General features: G+C 47.9%; 1 protein-coding gene across 42 annotated transcripts in view; it reads right to left on the bottom strand.

Annotated features, from left to right (window-relative positions):
• Nucleotides 1,421-12,239, bottom strand: part of GRAMD1B (GRAM domain containing 1B) — a 269,346-nt gene continuing 258,527 nt past the window's right edge. For 20 of the 42 annotated variants that reach the window (XM_047427319.1, XM_047427324.1, XM_017018039.2 and 17 more), the window contains 2 exons: nucleotides 10,388-10,495; nucleotides 9,030-10,081 (listed from right to left, as the gene is read on the bottom strand). In XM_047427319.1, the coding sequence (XP_047283275.1) occupies nucleotides 9,817-10,081; nucleotides 10,388-10,495 (373 nt within the window). In that variant the 3' untranslated portion in view covers nucleotides 9,030-9,816. Of the gene's footprint in view, nucleotides 6,683-9,029; nucleotides 10,154-10,387; nucleotides 10,496-10,831; nucleotides 10,844-12,239 lie in introns of those variants that run through there. The other 22 variants (NM_001367421.2, NM_001367418.2, NM_001387025.1 and 19 more) reach the window with 4 other exon arrangements.

The following is a 12,239-nucleotide window of genomic DNA, read 5'->3' as shown; positions in this document are numbered from 1 at the left end:
CTGTCTCTGGTTTTGCTCTACTTACTAAGTGTGTCTGCACCATAGACTATGGCTTCCCCCAGCACCCCAGCCTGCTTCAAATTCCCATACCCAATCTGTGGATATGCATGAGAATGAAAACCATGTAATAGCCTTACATTAAACACACACTAAATGTGTGATCTAGCCTCTCCGCTTCCCTTTCCTCCTCTACCCCAATACAAAGGAATACAAGAGTCACTTATGTTCTTGCCTGACATCAAACAAGTTTCCTTACCAGGCATCGAGGAGCTCCCTGCAAGGCTGACCTAATGAAGGGAGGAGCCAATCTGGCTCTCAGCTCCACCAGTTTAGGTAACATAAAAGAAGAACATGGAGCAGTCTCTCAACATTCATCTTCCTGGAAGTGTTAAGGCCCGAAGAGGGAAAAGTTCTATAAGAAACCATCATCGGGATTCACAGTCCACCACAATCTCCTGCAACAACAGTACTACTCATCATAAGATTAAAAATCGGCCGGGTGCGGTGGCTCACACCTATAATCCCAGCACTTTGGGAGGCCGAGGCAGGTGGATCACCTGAGGTCAGGAGTTCAAGACCAGCCTGGCCAACATGATGAAACCCCATCTCTACTAAAAATACAAAAATTAGCCGGGCATGGTGGCAGGCACCTGTAGTCCCAGCTACTCAGGAGGCTGAGGCAGGAGAGTTGCTTGAACCTGGAAGGCGGAGGTTGCAGTGAGCTGAGATCATGCCATTGCACTCCAGCCTGGGCAACAAGAGTGAAACTCCATCTCAAAGAAAAAAAAAGGTTAAAAATCATCCCAACGCTTTGGTAAGCTGAGGCAGGAGGATCACTTGGGGCCAAGAGTCTGAGACAAGCCTGAGCAACATAGTGAGACCCCATCTCTAAAAAAAATATATAGCCTAGCATGGTGGTGTGTGCCTGTAGCCCCAACTGCTCAGGAGGCTGAGGTGGGAGGAACACTTGAGCTCAGGAGGTCAAGGCCGCAGTGGGCCATGAATGCACCACTACCTCCAGCCTGGGTGACAGTGAATCTCAAAACAAAAGAAAATATTTTAGTATAATACCAGCAGCCATACCAAGAACGATGTGTGTTTTAAATGTATTATCTCTGAAACACTGAGGCTTGGAGTGACAGATGGGGCATAAGGCCACACAGTTGGTAAACAGTGATGCTATACTTTGTACTCAGGTCTGACTCCAAAATTTATCCATTCCAGTTGATCAGGCGGCCTCCCTCCCTCCCGTGAGAAGGTGGATGGCTGCGTGTGTGCGTGTGTGTGTGCGTGTGTGTCTATAAGCGTGCCTACAAACACATGCCTTCAGGACTTGCTGTGAGCCTACTTGGGAAGACCAGAAACATCTGAGGTGACGAGCATTCATAGATCAAGCAATAAACACGCACACCATTTATTATTGTAGTTCAATACTTTTTTCTTTTTAATTCATACTGTACTTCCATGGCTCTAGCTACTTTACATTAAGATTTGGCTGGGCAGCCTTGTGTGTTTCTAGGTACTAGCAGTAAGTTTTCTGACCTTGCGCACAGCGCCAGGCAAAGTACAGTTATAGATCCAAATACAGATGGCCAGACAACTCGACTGCACTCGACCCGTGTTCTTTCCCATAGATGGCCCAGTGCAGGTGTTGGGGCTGCTCCCTCTGCCTCACCCCACTCCACCCCACGTCAGGATTATCCAGGGGCCACTATGGCCTCTGACCCATCCCTCCCCACCTTGGAGTCTAGGTTGAGTTGGGGAAAAAGCACCATGGGTTTGGGAAGATGGTCTGGTCCATGCAGAGAGTGGTCTGGCCCTTGAGTGCAGGGTAGGAAAATGTGGGGAGCCACAAGCTATTGTTGGCAAAAATGGCTGTTTTGACTATGCAATCTCAGCACGTGGCACCCAAGCCCCAGGCCGATGCCCCAGACAGAGCCAGCTGCCTTGCCTGGAGCAGAGGCCACCCTTTTGCTTCTGCAATGTCTTATTGTATTGAGAGAAGCAAGGAGGGCTGAAGAACGACAATGTTCTTTAAGCCTTCAGATGTTGGGGAGATCGTCAGCATCAGCTCCTCCTGGCCGGCAAGGTGCTGCTCATCAGCTGCCAAGACTCCAGTCCTGGCTCCAGGGCCTGTTGAGGATCTCCAGTCACAAGACCCCGGAGCTGTTGCACAGAACATCAAAACAGGGAGCTGGCTGGGCCCTTCACAGCCATGGCCAGAGCAGAAGTGAGGTAACAAGGCTGGGCAGAGAGGTGGGAAGGGAGCTCTCTAAATAGTGTGCAAGTTTCTGCTCTGCACTATGACAGCAAGCAGGGGCCTTAAAAGATGGCCTTCCAGGAAAATGCTCCTCTCAGACCCAAAATGCATCTTCTAGAAGAAAACACAGAGGTGAAGAGGATTGGGGCCAACCTGCTGGAGGTTGGGGGAATGAAAGTCAAGGATGTCAAGGATGTCAAGTGGTGAATGGGATGATTGTCCCATAGCCTAGAGACAAGTGGCGAAGGTGGGGAGAGTCAGGAAGGGGCCCCGGAGATTCCTCCTGGAGGAGGCAGGCAGGGTATGAGGTGTAGGGAGGCCAGAGCCCTGCCATCTGGGGGAAGGGAGAAGAGTGCTATTTCTCCTGGGGGCAGTAGGAGAAAAGGGCTGGCTTTGGCTGCCCTGAAGAGCTTAAAGAAGTGGCATGGTATGACACAGAAAGTACCCTTCTGGGACCACAAGCATCCAGAAAGATACTTCCCCTAGTCCTTTCTCCAGGATCTCATCTTAGGGATACTGCCTGGAAATGTAATAGGTATAGTTCAAGTTTGGGTGGGGGGCAGGGACACGGAGAGAATCCACTTCTCACAAAGCATTCCTCTTGAGCTCTCTTTGTCCTCCCCATGTCATTCCAGGTTCTTAGTGTCAGTGTTCTAAGGCAAACCCAAGGGTTTTAGCCAAAGCTTCATACTAAATCCAAACCCTATCTTAACAAAAGAGAAGTGCTAGAACCAGAAGTGGCTACTCTCCACTGTTTCTTCTACCAATAAAGAGGAAGGATGGATAGATGAAAGGCTGAACAGACCCTAGAGATAGAAGATGAGCTCCATTGAAAAGAATGTTCTTCTCCCAACTTAGAGAAAGTCCAAAGGAAGATCCCTTCACAAACTAGGCCAAAGAGAAAGAAACCCTTCTAAGTGAATACTGAGCAATACATCAAGCTCGATCTCTCTCTCTCTCTCTCTCTCTCTCTCTCTCTCTCTCTCTCTCTTCCACTGGGCCTCCCCAGCCCTCCTAGCCACCTAAAGAATAAATTTTAATCACCCTGGGTCTCCTGGGAATGCAGACACTGCCCTACCACACCTCTAAATACTGGGAAGCTTCAGCCTCTGGGCTTGTTCCCTCCTGGCAGAGCAATTGAGAAAGTCCACCCAGTCTTCCCAGCCTCTGGCCTAACCCCCAAGATGATGTCAAAGCTAGAACCTACCTTAAAGATGATCTAGCCCAACTCCCTCCTGTGACAGGAGGATACTGAAGCTCAGAGAGGGGGAGTGACTTGCCCAAGGCCACAGAGCTTAGTCAATGGAAAAGTCAGGACCCAGGCTCAGGTCTCCAAACCGTCAGTGCAGTGCTCTTACACAGAGCTTCAAGCAGCTGATCTTGCTGGCCTGAGATGTAATCCTCTTGTCCCCAAAGAGGTGGATGAGGAAGGGAGAGAGTCGCACCATGATTAGCTTGTCTGAGGCCAGTCTTGTCAATTCTTTCACAGTAAGCTGTAATGGAACTTTAGATCCTATAGCTGTTCTTCACCTTGTTAGAAACTGCAAATTCTTTAAAATTGAGTGCAAACTCTCAAACATTTTACCACATAAGTCATTACAGAAAGACTCCTGTGTGTCCCCAGTAAACTAAAACGAACAATAAAAGCACTGGCTGGAAGAAGTTACATAAGAAGTAGTGATGTTTTGATGCTCCCTTGTAGACAGCAACTAGCCAGGCAAATGGCCAGGAATACAATGCTATTTATTTGTTTCACTCCAAGACTTATCTGCAAGGGTGAGTTAAGATGTCTTTCGCAAGCTATTGACTAAGGGGGAAGAGATTTTGTTTGGGAATGAATAGAGTTGTTGGTTTTTTCCTGGTATGATAGTCAAAAAATTATTGGAACACAGAGAGCCTACAAGAGATCCATGATTCTTAAAGGACATTCCCTATGTGCACACATTGTCTAGTGGGTTCAAATCGCTAAAAAACCAGGAGGGCTCTTCTGACATACTCAGTACTGCCCTCTCTGCCACCTTTTCCTCCTGGGAATGGTCCTGAGAGGTAAAGCAGAAGCAGAACAACTCCCTGCGGCCAGGTCTGCTCTGTCACTTGACTCCCAACAAAGAACCCTTTTTAAGTCATCCCAAAGGTCCCACCGTGGCACCTTTAATAATTAAATAACTTAAGGAAATAATTATGTATGGAATAAATTCAGGAATCTACAAGTTTTGCATTCAAAACTTTCTGGGAATAGTTTTGGCTTCTGGCTGTGCCAAGGGGGAGATTTCCAGCAGTCTGCACCATGCCTCCTTCTTTGGCTCAGAGCCCATGAGCCTTGATCCCTACCAGTGTCCCTCACCCAAAGGCCTGGACAAGAACTGAACAAGGACCCACTGGGCTGTGGGCATAGGCACTCTTCACAGGGATTACATGAAACTGCATTTCCTCCCATCTCCTCTTCTAGGGGAGGAATATCCACTCTAGCTCATGCCCTGGAGCCTCCTCACCCTCCTCCCTTGGAGGATCACCTGGGCATGGACCTTCCTGTTTTCTGATCCTGCCCTTAGGGAAATACCAAGGCCTTATTCTCACATGGAAAAGTCAAAAACTGTAATTGCCACAGGGAATTAAAGGCCATTCTAAGAAAAAAATACAACTTTATCTTTGGGGTAGATGAGTGATAAAATCTTCTGTCTTTTGGGCTGATGTTCTGGGACATCTGGGACATCTGGGGTTTCTTCTGCCCCTGTGTCAAGAAGCCCAGGAGAAGAATAAGCAAGACTGAAGACCTCTGCATGCCAAACTGGCTATGACTCTTTCATGAATCTCCACAAGCTCTGCCTGGAGCTGGTGGGACTCTTTTGGTCATTACATGAAGAAACAGTAGTTAGTGTATGAGGGATGATGAATGTGCCCAGAGGGCCCCGTGAATTCAGATAAATGCATGGTGCTAGTGGGCCAATGCTGAAAAGGCCCTGAATGTCTCACTCTTTGAAGCTAGTGCCTTCTACTTCTTAATGATCTTACACCTCTGTGGGGCCAGAGACCAGAGCAGGATTTGTACTCCAACCCCCGCCAGAACCCCCATTGCCAAGTCTGAGAAACTCAGGATTGGGAATGGCTCCCGTAGGGCATAGATTTCACTTGGCCTTTTCCTGCCCAAACACATGCACCTTTGCCAAATCCTTCCCTCCAGTGGCTCAGATGCTTTTTCTATGTGCAAACTGTCTCAGACAGTCGTCTCCACTGGCTAATGTTGGTTCGTTCAAAGAGCAAATGAGGCTGGCAACCCATCTTGGTGCTCACCACTCACAGTGTTCTGTGGGTAGACCCTGCACCCCGGACGTGGCAAGGGCCTTCTCTCCCTCTCTCAAATCCTGGAGGGCCCAGCACACCCTGACTCATCCTGGAAATCACACTGACAGCTCTAAGTGAAGGCCTCAGAGCCACAGACCTGACTTGCTTAGAAGCACTAAAAGAGGTTTAATAAGGTCGAAAACGCTCCACCCTGGCTAATAAACAATGTGCTCTTAGGGCACAGAGAAACAATAGGACTTTAGGCACTAAAAAGTGACACTTCGCCCAGATCCAGCCTGGGAGAAGACCAGAGAGAAAGCGGGTGGGAAAGTAAGAAATTCCCAGCCCTTACTGGGTCCACACCCTACACAGGTCGGAGGAAGGTGCAGGGGTGATGGAGGAGAGTATCCTTCAGAACACGAGTCTCGGGAGCCTGCCACCACACAATGCAGCCTTCCTAGCTTTCCAAGCATCCTCTCCATCTGACACTCAGTACGGTCTGGATCAAGTGGGCGGCCAACCCTAGGAGTTTAGACTGGGCTCCCTTGATGCTTCTGTGTTCCCAAGAGAATGCCTGGGGAAGCCTGGGGTAGGGAAGAAAAGATTCTCTTTTATTTTGGAAACAAATCAAAAGGGGATTAGGGAATGAAGCACCTTAAGCAATGCCGTCTTAAGACTTCTTTTTGAGACCTTAGGGTCTTCGCAGGCATAACTTTGGCTCAACATTTCCCTTCTAAAAGCCAAGAATGGCCAGCAAGGGAAGGGGTGGGGAACAGAGGGTGGGAGGAGGGAGATCAGGGGAGGTCGGTGCTGAGAGGCGGTTCCTGCCCTCCTCAGCTGCTCCACCATAAGAAAACGCTGCTCCGGCCAGCACAGGGCGCGGGAGGGCCCGCTCCTTCTCCCTGGTACATAGGCATTATCTCTTTTTTAAAATCTGTATATAATATATATATTTATATTCTGTATATATATATATTTATATATATATATTTATATGGTCTATGTACATGTATTGCACAGGCCTCTTGCAGCCACCCTGTTCCTGCCTTGTCAATGATAGCGATTCCTCTTTTCTTCACTTTCCGACGTGTAGTCGCGGGACCTGATGCCGTTCTGAAGGTTGATGAGCGAGTCCTTCATCTGCAAGACAGAAAACCCCACCCCAGGCCTGGGTCTGCGCTTTTAGTGGGATTCTCCACCGAGCAGCCCTCTCCCCACACCCGCCTAGGGCAGGCCTCCAACCACGCCATGGGGCTGAAAAGAGTCGGGCACCTAAAGCAAGGGTGGTTCTCAACACTGTTTCAAACAGAAAGGGGACAGTCAGGCTGGGTGCAGTGACGCACACCTGTAATCCCAGCACTTTGGGAGGCAGAGGTGGGAGGATCACTTGAGGCCAGGAGTTTCAGACCAACCTGGGCAACACAGAGAGACCCCATCTCTATAAAAAATTTAAAAATTATAGCCAGGCTTTGTGATATGCACCTGTAGTCCTAACTACTCAGGAGGCTGGGGTGGGAGGATGGCTTGAACCCGGGAGTTTGCAACTGCAGTGAACTATGACTGCACCACTGCACTCCAGCCTGGGCAACAGAGCAAGACCCTGCCTTTTAAAAAGAGAGAGAGACAGAGGGGGAAAGGGAGAGGGAGAGAGAAAGAAAAGAAAAAAAGAGAGAGGAAAGAAAGAAAGAAGAAAGAAAGAAAGAGAGAAAGGAAGGAAGGAAGGAAGAAGAAAAGAAAGAAAGAGAAAAAGAAAGAAAGAAAGAAAAAGAAAGAAAGAAAAGAAAGAAAGACAATCTAGCATGGGGAAGCCCTTGGGTAGGGCTTACTGGGTCTCAGTGCTAGATCAAGAACTCTCTTGAAGTGTTCAACTGCTACCAAGAGCCTCTCAGGCTGTCACTGACTTGATCTACTTGTTTCATCTGGTTTCCCTGATGATCCTTAATATACCACAAGCCTGTCTTTGTACATTGAGCCACATTGTTCTCCCCGCCCAGGAATCTTTGTGCTCTTGCCTATTCCAGTGTCACCCGTCTGCTAAGGCTCAGAACAAATCCAAGCTTTCTCCAGCTCCCAGTCATCCCTCTCCTTCATGGTCTCTCACACAGCACACTCAGGCTCTGGACTGCAGTCATCTTTCGTTGCTTGGTTTCATGTTTGCTAGGACTAGAACTGTGTCTAATCCTTCCCTTGTGCACCCAGGGGCACCATGCAGAGAACTGAGTGGGTTCCTAGTAGGTATCCACATCAGCAAATTAACATTTTTAGGTCATAGACTGCAGTCTAAATGGGAGACTAGAATGGAACCTGGCAGGAGAATTGTAAAATGGCCCATCATACCATCATATATTTAAATATTCACATATTTACATACTGTCTCTGGGTAAACTGCTGTATTACAACATAAGACAACATTTCTGGGGTAAATGGTTACGGATTTAGGGAAAGTCTGGTCTCTCTGCTTAATCTACCACTTTCTTCTCTCTGGTTCATTTATATCTTGTGCTCAAGACAGAGGAGGGGGCCATTCTGTTATTTTAAAAGTTACTTTTAAAGGGATTGAAACAAAACAACTCTCTTAATACTTGTAGGGTAGAGTCCACTAGGCTATAAATCTGACAGCCCCAACCCCCAAGTTAAAGGGCCCCATTCTGAAATAGAATTGTAGAGTTGGAAGAGACCCCTGGGTCATCTAGTCCAACTGCCCCAATTTAATCTATAAGTTCTTTATCCATCATCATCTAGTGATGATGATGAACACTTTCAATGTTGGAATCTCAGTTCCCTACAGTAGCCTGTTCCATTGCTGGACAGCATTAGCCACAAGTTGTTTGCATTTGATGATGAAGAAAAATTACTTTCTTAAACTTCTAGCTCTAGTTCAGCGCTCTGGAGTTTTCCAGTAAGTCTAACCCTTGACATGTGTTGGCCTGGGTGTCTGAAGGCCACCCTGTTCTCCTCACCCTCGTGTTCCCTTCTCCTGGGTTTGTCTTCAATTCCATCAACACTTTTTGAAAGGGTAGGGCTTCTAAACTCCTCACTAAGCTTTCTGTCCCCTTTTGGTTTAAAATAAAAAATGCCCTCCTTAAGTGTAGTGACAAAGCTAAACACATCCAACTGGGTCTTGATAGCTGCATTAAGATTCTTTTCCCTTTTTTTTTTTTTTTTTTTTTTTTGAGATGAAGTCTCACTCTGTTGCCAGGCTGGAGTGCAGTGGCACTATCTCAGCTCACTGAAACCTCCACCTCCCAGGTTCAAGCAATTCTCCTGCCTTAGCCTCCCAAGTAGCTGGGATTACAGGTGTGCGCCACCATACACGGCTAATTTTTATATTTTGAGTAGAGACAGGGTTTCGCCATGTTGGCCAGGCCGGTTTCAAACTCCTGACCTCAAGTGATCTGCCCTCTTCAGCCTCTCAAAGTGCTGGGATTATAGGCGTGACCCACCACACCCGGCCTCTTTTTCCTTACTTAGAGCTAAGACCAAACAATGCAAGGAAACAAAGTTTAATATTAATGAGCACCGCCCACATGGCATCAAATCCTGATGACAGTTCCATGAAGCTATGATTACAATTCCTATTTTATAAATGAAGAAATGGAAGCTCAAGGTCCCTTGCTCACGGTCACAAAATTAGTGGCAAAGCTGGGATGCCGTCTCTGGCTGGTCACAAAACATCAGAAAGGCAACTCTTTAGGGAGAGAAGTTGTCATGTAGCAGGATAAATCCTGAGTCTATTATTTTCTAATTCTCTTGCACAGCAAAGGCAGATTCCTGCTCTCTAGGCAACCACATGGAGGCATATTTTATGATACTAAACTATTCTGGGGAAGCAGGAAGCTCCCTCCCCCAAGGAAACTAGGCTAATTATTGATTTTGCCTCAGGATGATTTGCCTAAATAGTTGATCTAGTTTTGCGGGGGGGAATACAGGCAAACTGTACGACAAAGATGATGCTATGAAAAGAAGACAAAGTACAGCCATCTTCCCAGACTATCAGTGCAGTGCCACTGACTGTCAGAGGAGGGGGCGGTAAACATTTGAAAAAACTCAAAGACATGCCCTCTGGGAAGACAAATCTCTGTAAAAGGGCTGAGGGGGTTCTCTGTTTAAATGCCTGTCAGATGGTTATGGGTTACCAAAAATAAAAATAAAAAGAGTTCTCCTTCCACCTAAACTACAGCTTTCCTGGTGCAAATTCAGTGGGTCATTTTATTGTTCTTATTTTTTAGAATACACCTGCATTTCTAGCAGCCCACTCAAGGAAGGCTTTCCATTTAGAACAATGCATGGCCTGGAGGAAGAATGAATTGGAGGGAGAAGTCTGGAGGGTGGTGATAGAGACGAGGATCTTTCTCACAGCATAAGGGAAGGAGTCCCCGCTCCCAAAGACCAGGGCAAGCAGAGAAGGTGGGGCATCTCACCTGGTCAAGGAGCATCACTGAGGATTTGATGATTTCCCTCCATTTTTGGAGCTCAGTATCGTGGTACTTTTGTTGGGACTCTAAGAGCTGGGCCCATTCTGTCTGAGACTGGGGTAACCTGTGGGGTAGAAGAAGGGGTACCCCAGCAGCTGGAGTTATGCTCAGCGAACTGTCCTGGGCTCCCAGACCCCTAAAGGACAGAGAGTCACATCAGAGTGCTTTGTCCTCTGCTCACTGCCCCCGGTTCCCCTGTGCCCCAGATCAGAAGTGGGCTGAAACTATAGGGAGAGATTCTGAGTTTCCCTGTGGGCTCATCCCAGAGGGATGGGGAAGGGCAGTGAGGCAGTCCCAAGGAGACTGGGAGACAGGTATCATGGCACTGGGTGGGATGAAGGTGGAGGTGAGGGGACGAGGCCAGGATTACCTTTCTTGGAGCCTTAGACCCTGCCAGGCAGTGAGGGTCTGCGTGGTGTATTCCAACATCCAGAGTTTGTAGAAGAGCATCATGTTAAGGATGACCAGCAGCACCAGACTAGGAAGGAGACGTGGGGAAAAAAACATCAGCAGTGAGATGTCACCTGAGCCTAGGACATCCCCCATCCCAGAGGCTGCTGTCCCTGACCGGTGGGCCATCCAAAGCATTGCAGTGAGTGACTGAGCTGGAGGGATGGAGCAAGGGAGAGAGAGAGAGAAGCAACCTAATCTGGATGGGCCAGGATACAGGGGAGAGCCATGGAGAGGGGCATGGGATGAAGGCACTAGAAAGGAGAGATGCATAGGCACCCAGAACCTGGGCACCTGGGGGAAGAGAGGTACGGTGGGGAGGAAAAGAGATGAGGGGGTAAAGGAGAAATCATAGAGCCAGTACCTGAAACAGATCCTAATGGGAGCAAGGAAGAAAAATGGGGAGGAGGCAGAGGTTAGAAACAGGCAAGTGTGGGGAAGGGGAAACCTGCACTGAAAATCAACCTGGGAGTGAGTGAGAGTATATGAGAAAAAAATACTAGAAGCAAAGACACAATGGATGAGACGACCCAGCAAGGACAGGGCACAAGAAAACAACAGACAGACTCTTAGTATTTCCACGGGTGCTAAATTGAGAAAAGACTCCCCCTACCAACCCAACCTTAGGACCTAACTGAAGGGTGAGACTGAAGGAGGAATTCCAGTGGGTCCCTAGCTCTGCCAATGATACCTCTTACAGATGTTAGCAGAACTTCCCGCAAGCTGCAAAGTTCCCTGCCTCAACCTGATACCGGCTGGCAGGGATCATGCAGACAGGCTGAGGTTTCCCAGAGTCTGGGTCAGAACTGGTGAGAGACAGGGGAGGCAAGGATCATCCAGGGGCTGGAGGGGCTGTGGGGAGTCATAGAGAGACTGCAGAAATTCTCTCCTTCTCTCAGCCTCACTGGCTGCCTAAACTCACTGTATAACAAGCTCATAGGATGAAGAGATGAAGACATCATCATGGGTAGAGAGGATCCAGAGACACACAAAACTGGATGCAAACCCTGGCTCACCACTTAAAAATCTCTTAACTTTTGATCAAGTTTCCTAGCTTCTCCAACCTAGGGACAGTAATACCTATCCTACTGGGGTTGTTCTGTAGATGAAAGGGAATATATTGTAAAATATCCCGGCACACCACAGGCCCTACACAAAGGGTAGTTCTTATAATTAATGGGGGAGAGGTAGACACACATAAGAAAAGAAAGATGACAAAAAATGAGAAGATAGGCTGGGCATGGTGGCTCACGCCTGTAATCCCAGCACTTTGGGAGGCCAAGGTGGGTGGATTGCTTGAGCTGGGGAGTTCAAAACCAGCCTGGGCAACATAGCAAAACCCCATCTCTACAAAAAAATATTTTTAAAAATTAGTCAGGTGTGGTGACATGCACCTGTGGTCCCAGCTACTAGGGAAGCTGAGGCAGGAGGATTGCTTGAGCCCGGGAAGGGGAAGTTAGAGTGAGCTGAGATCATGCTACTGCATTCCAGCCTGGGCAACAGAGTGAGAACCTGTCTCAAACAAACAAACAAACAAAAAAAAAAAAAAAAGGAAAGAAAGAAAAACAGATAAAAGAGAGATGGATAAAAGACCAGCGAAGAAAGAAAAGCTTATGCTATGCCTTAGGCTTTTCAAAGCTTATGCCTGTGCAAGTGGTACCGTGTGTGTCATCCGTGCTTCTGGTACTGTGGAAGGTAGTCTTCCTTAAACTGACAGCCACAAATTTCTGGGGCTGCTGTGTTCTCAGGCCTCTCTGAGTTGTCCCCAAGGC

The sequence above is a fragment of the Homo sapiens genome, chromosome 11 (genome assembly GCF_000001405.40).
Source record: "Homo sapiens chromosome 11, GRCh38.p14 Primary Assembly".
NCBI lineage: Eukaryota > Metazoa > Chordata > Mammalia > Primates > Hominidae > Homo > Homo sapiens.
This window is presented reverse-complemented; position numbering and strand designations above follow the sequence as displayed.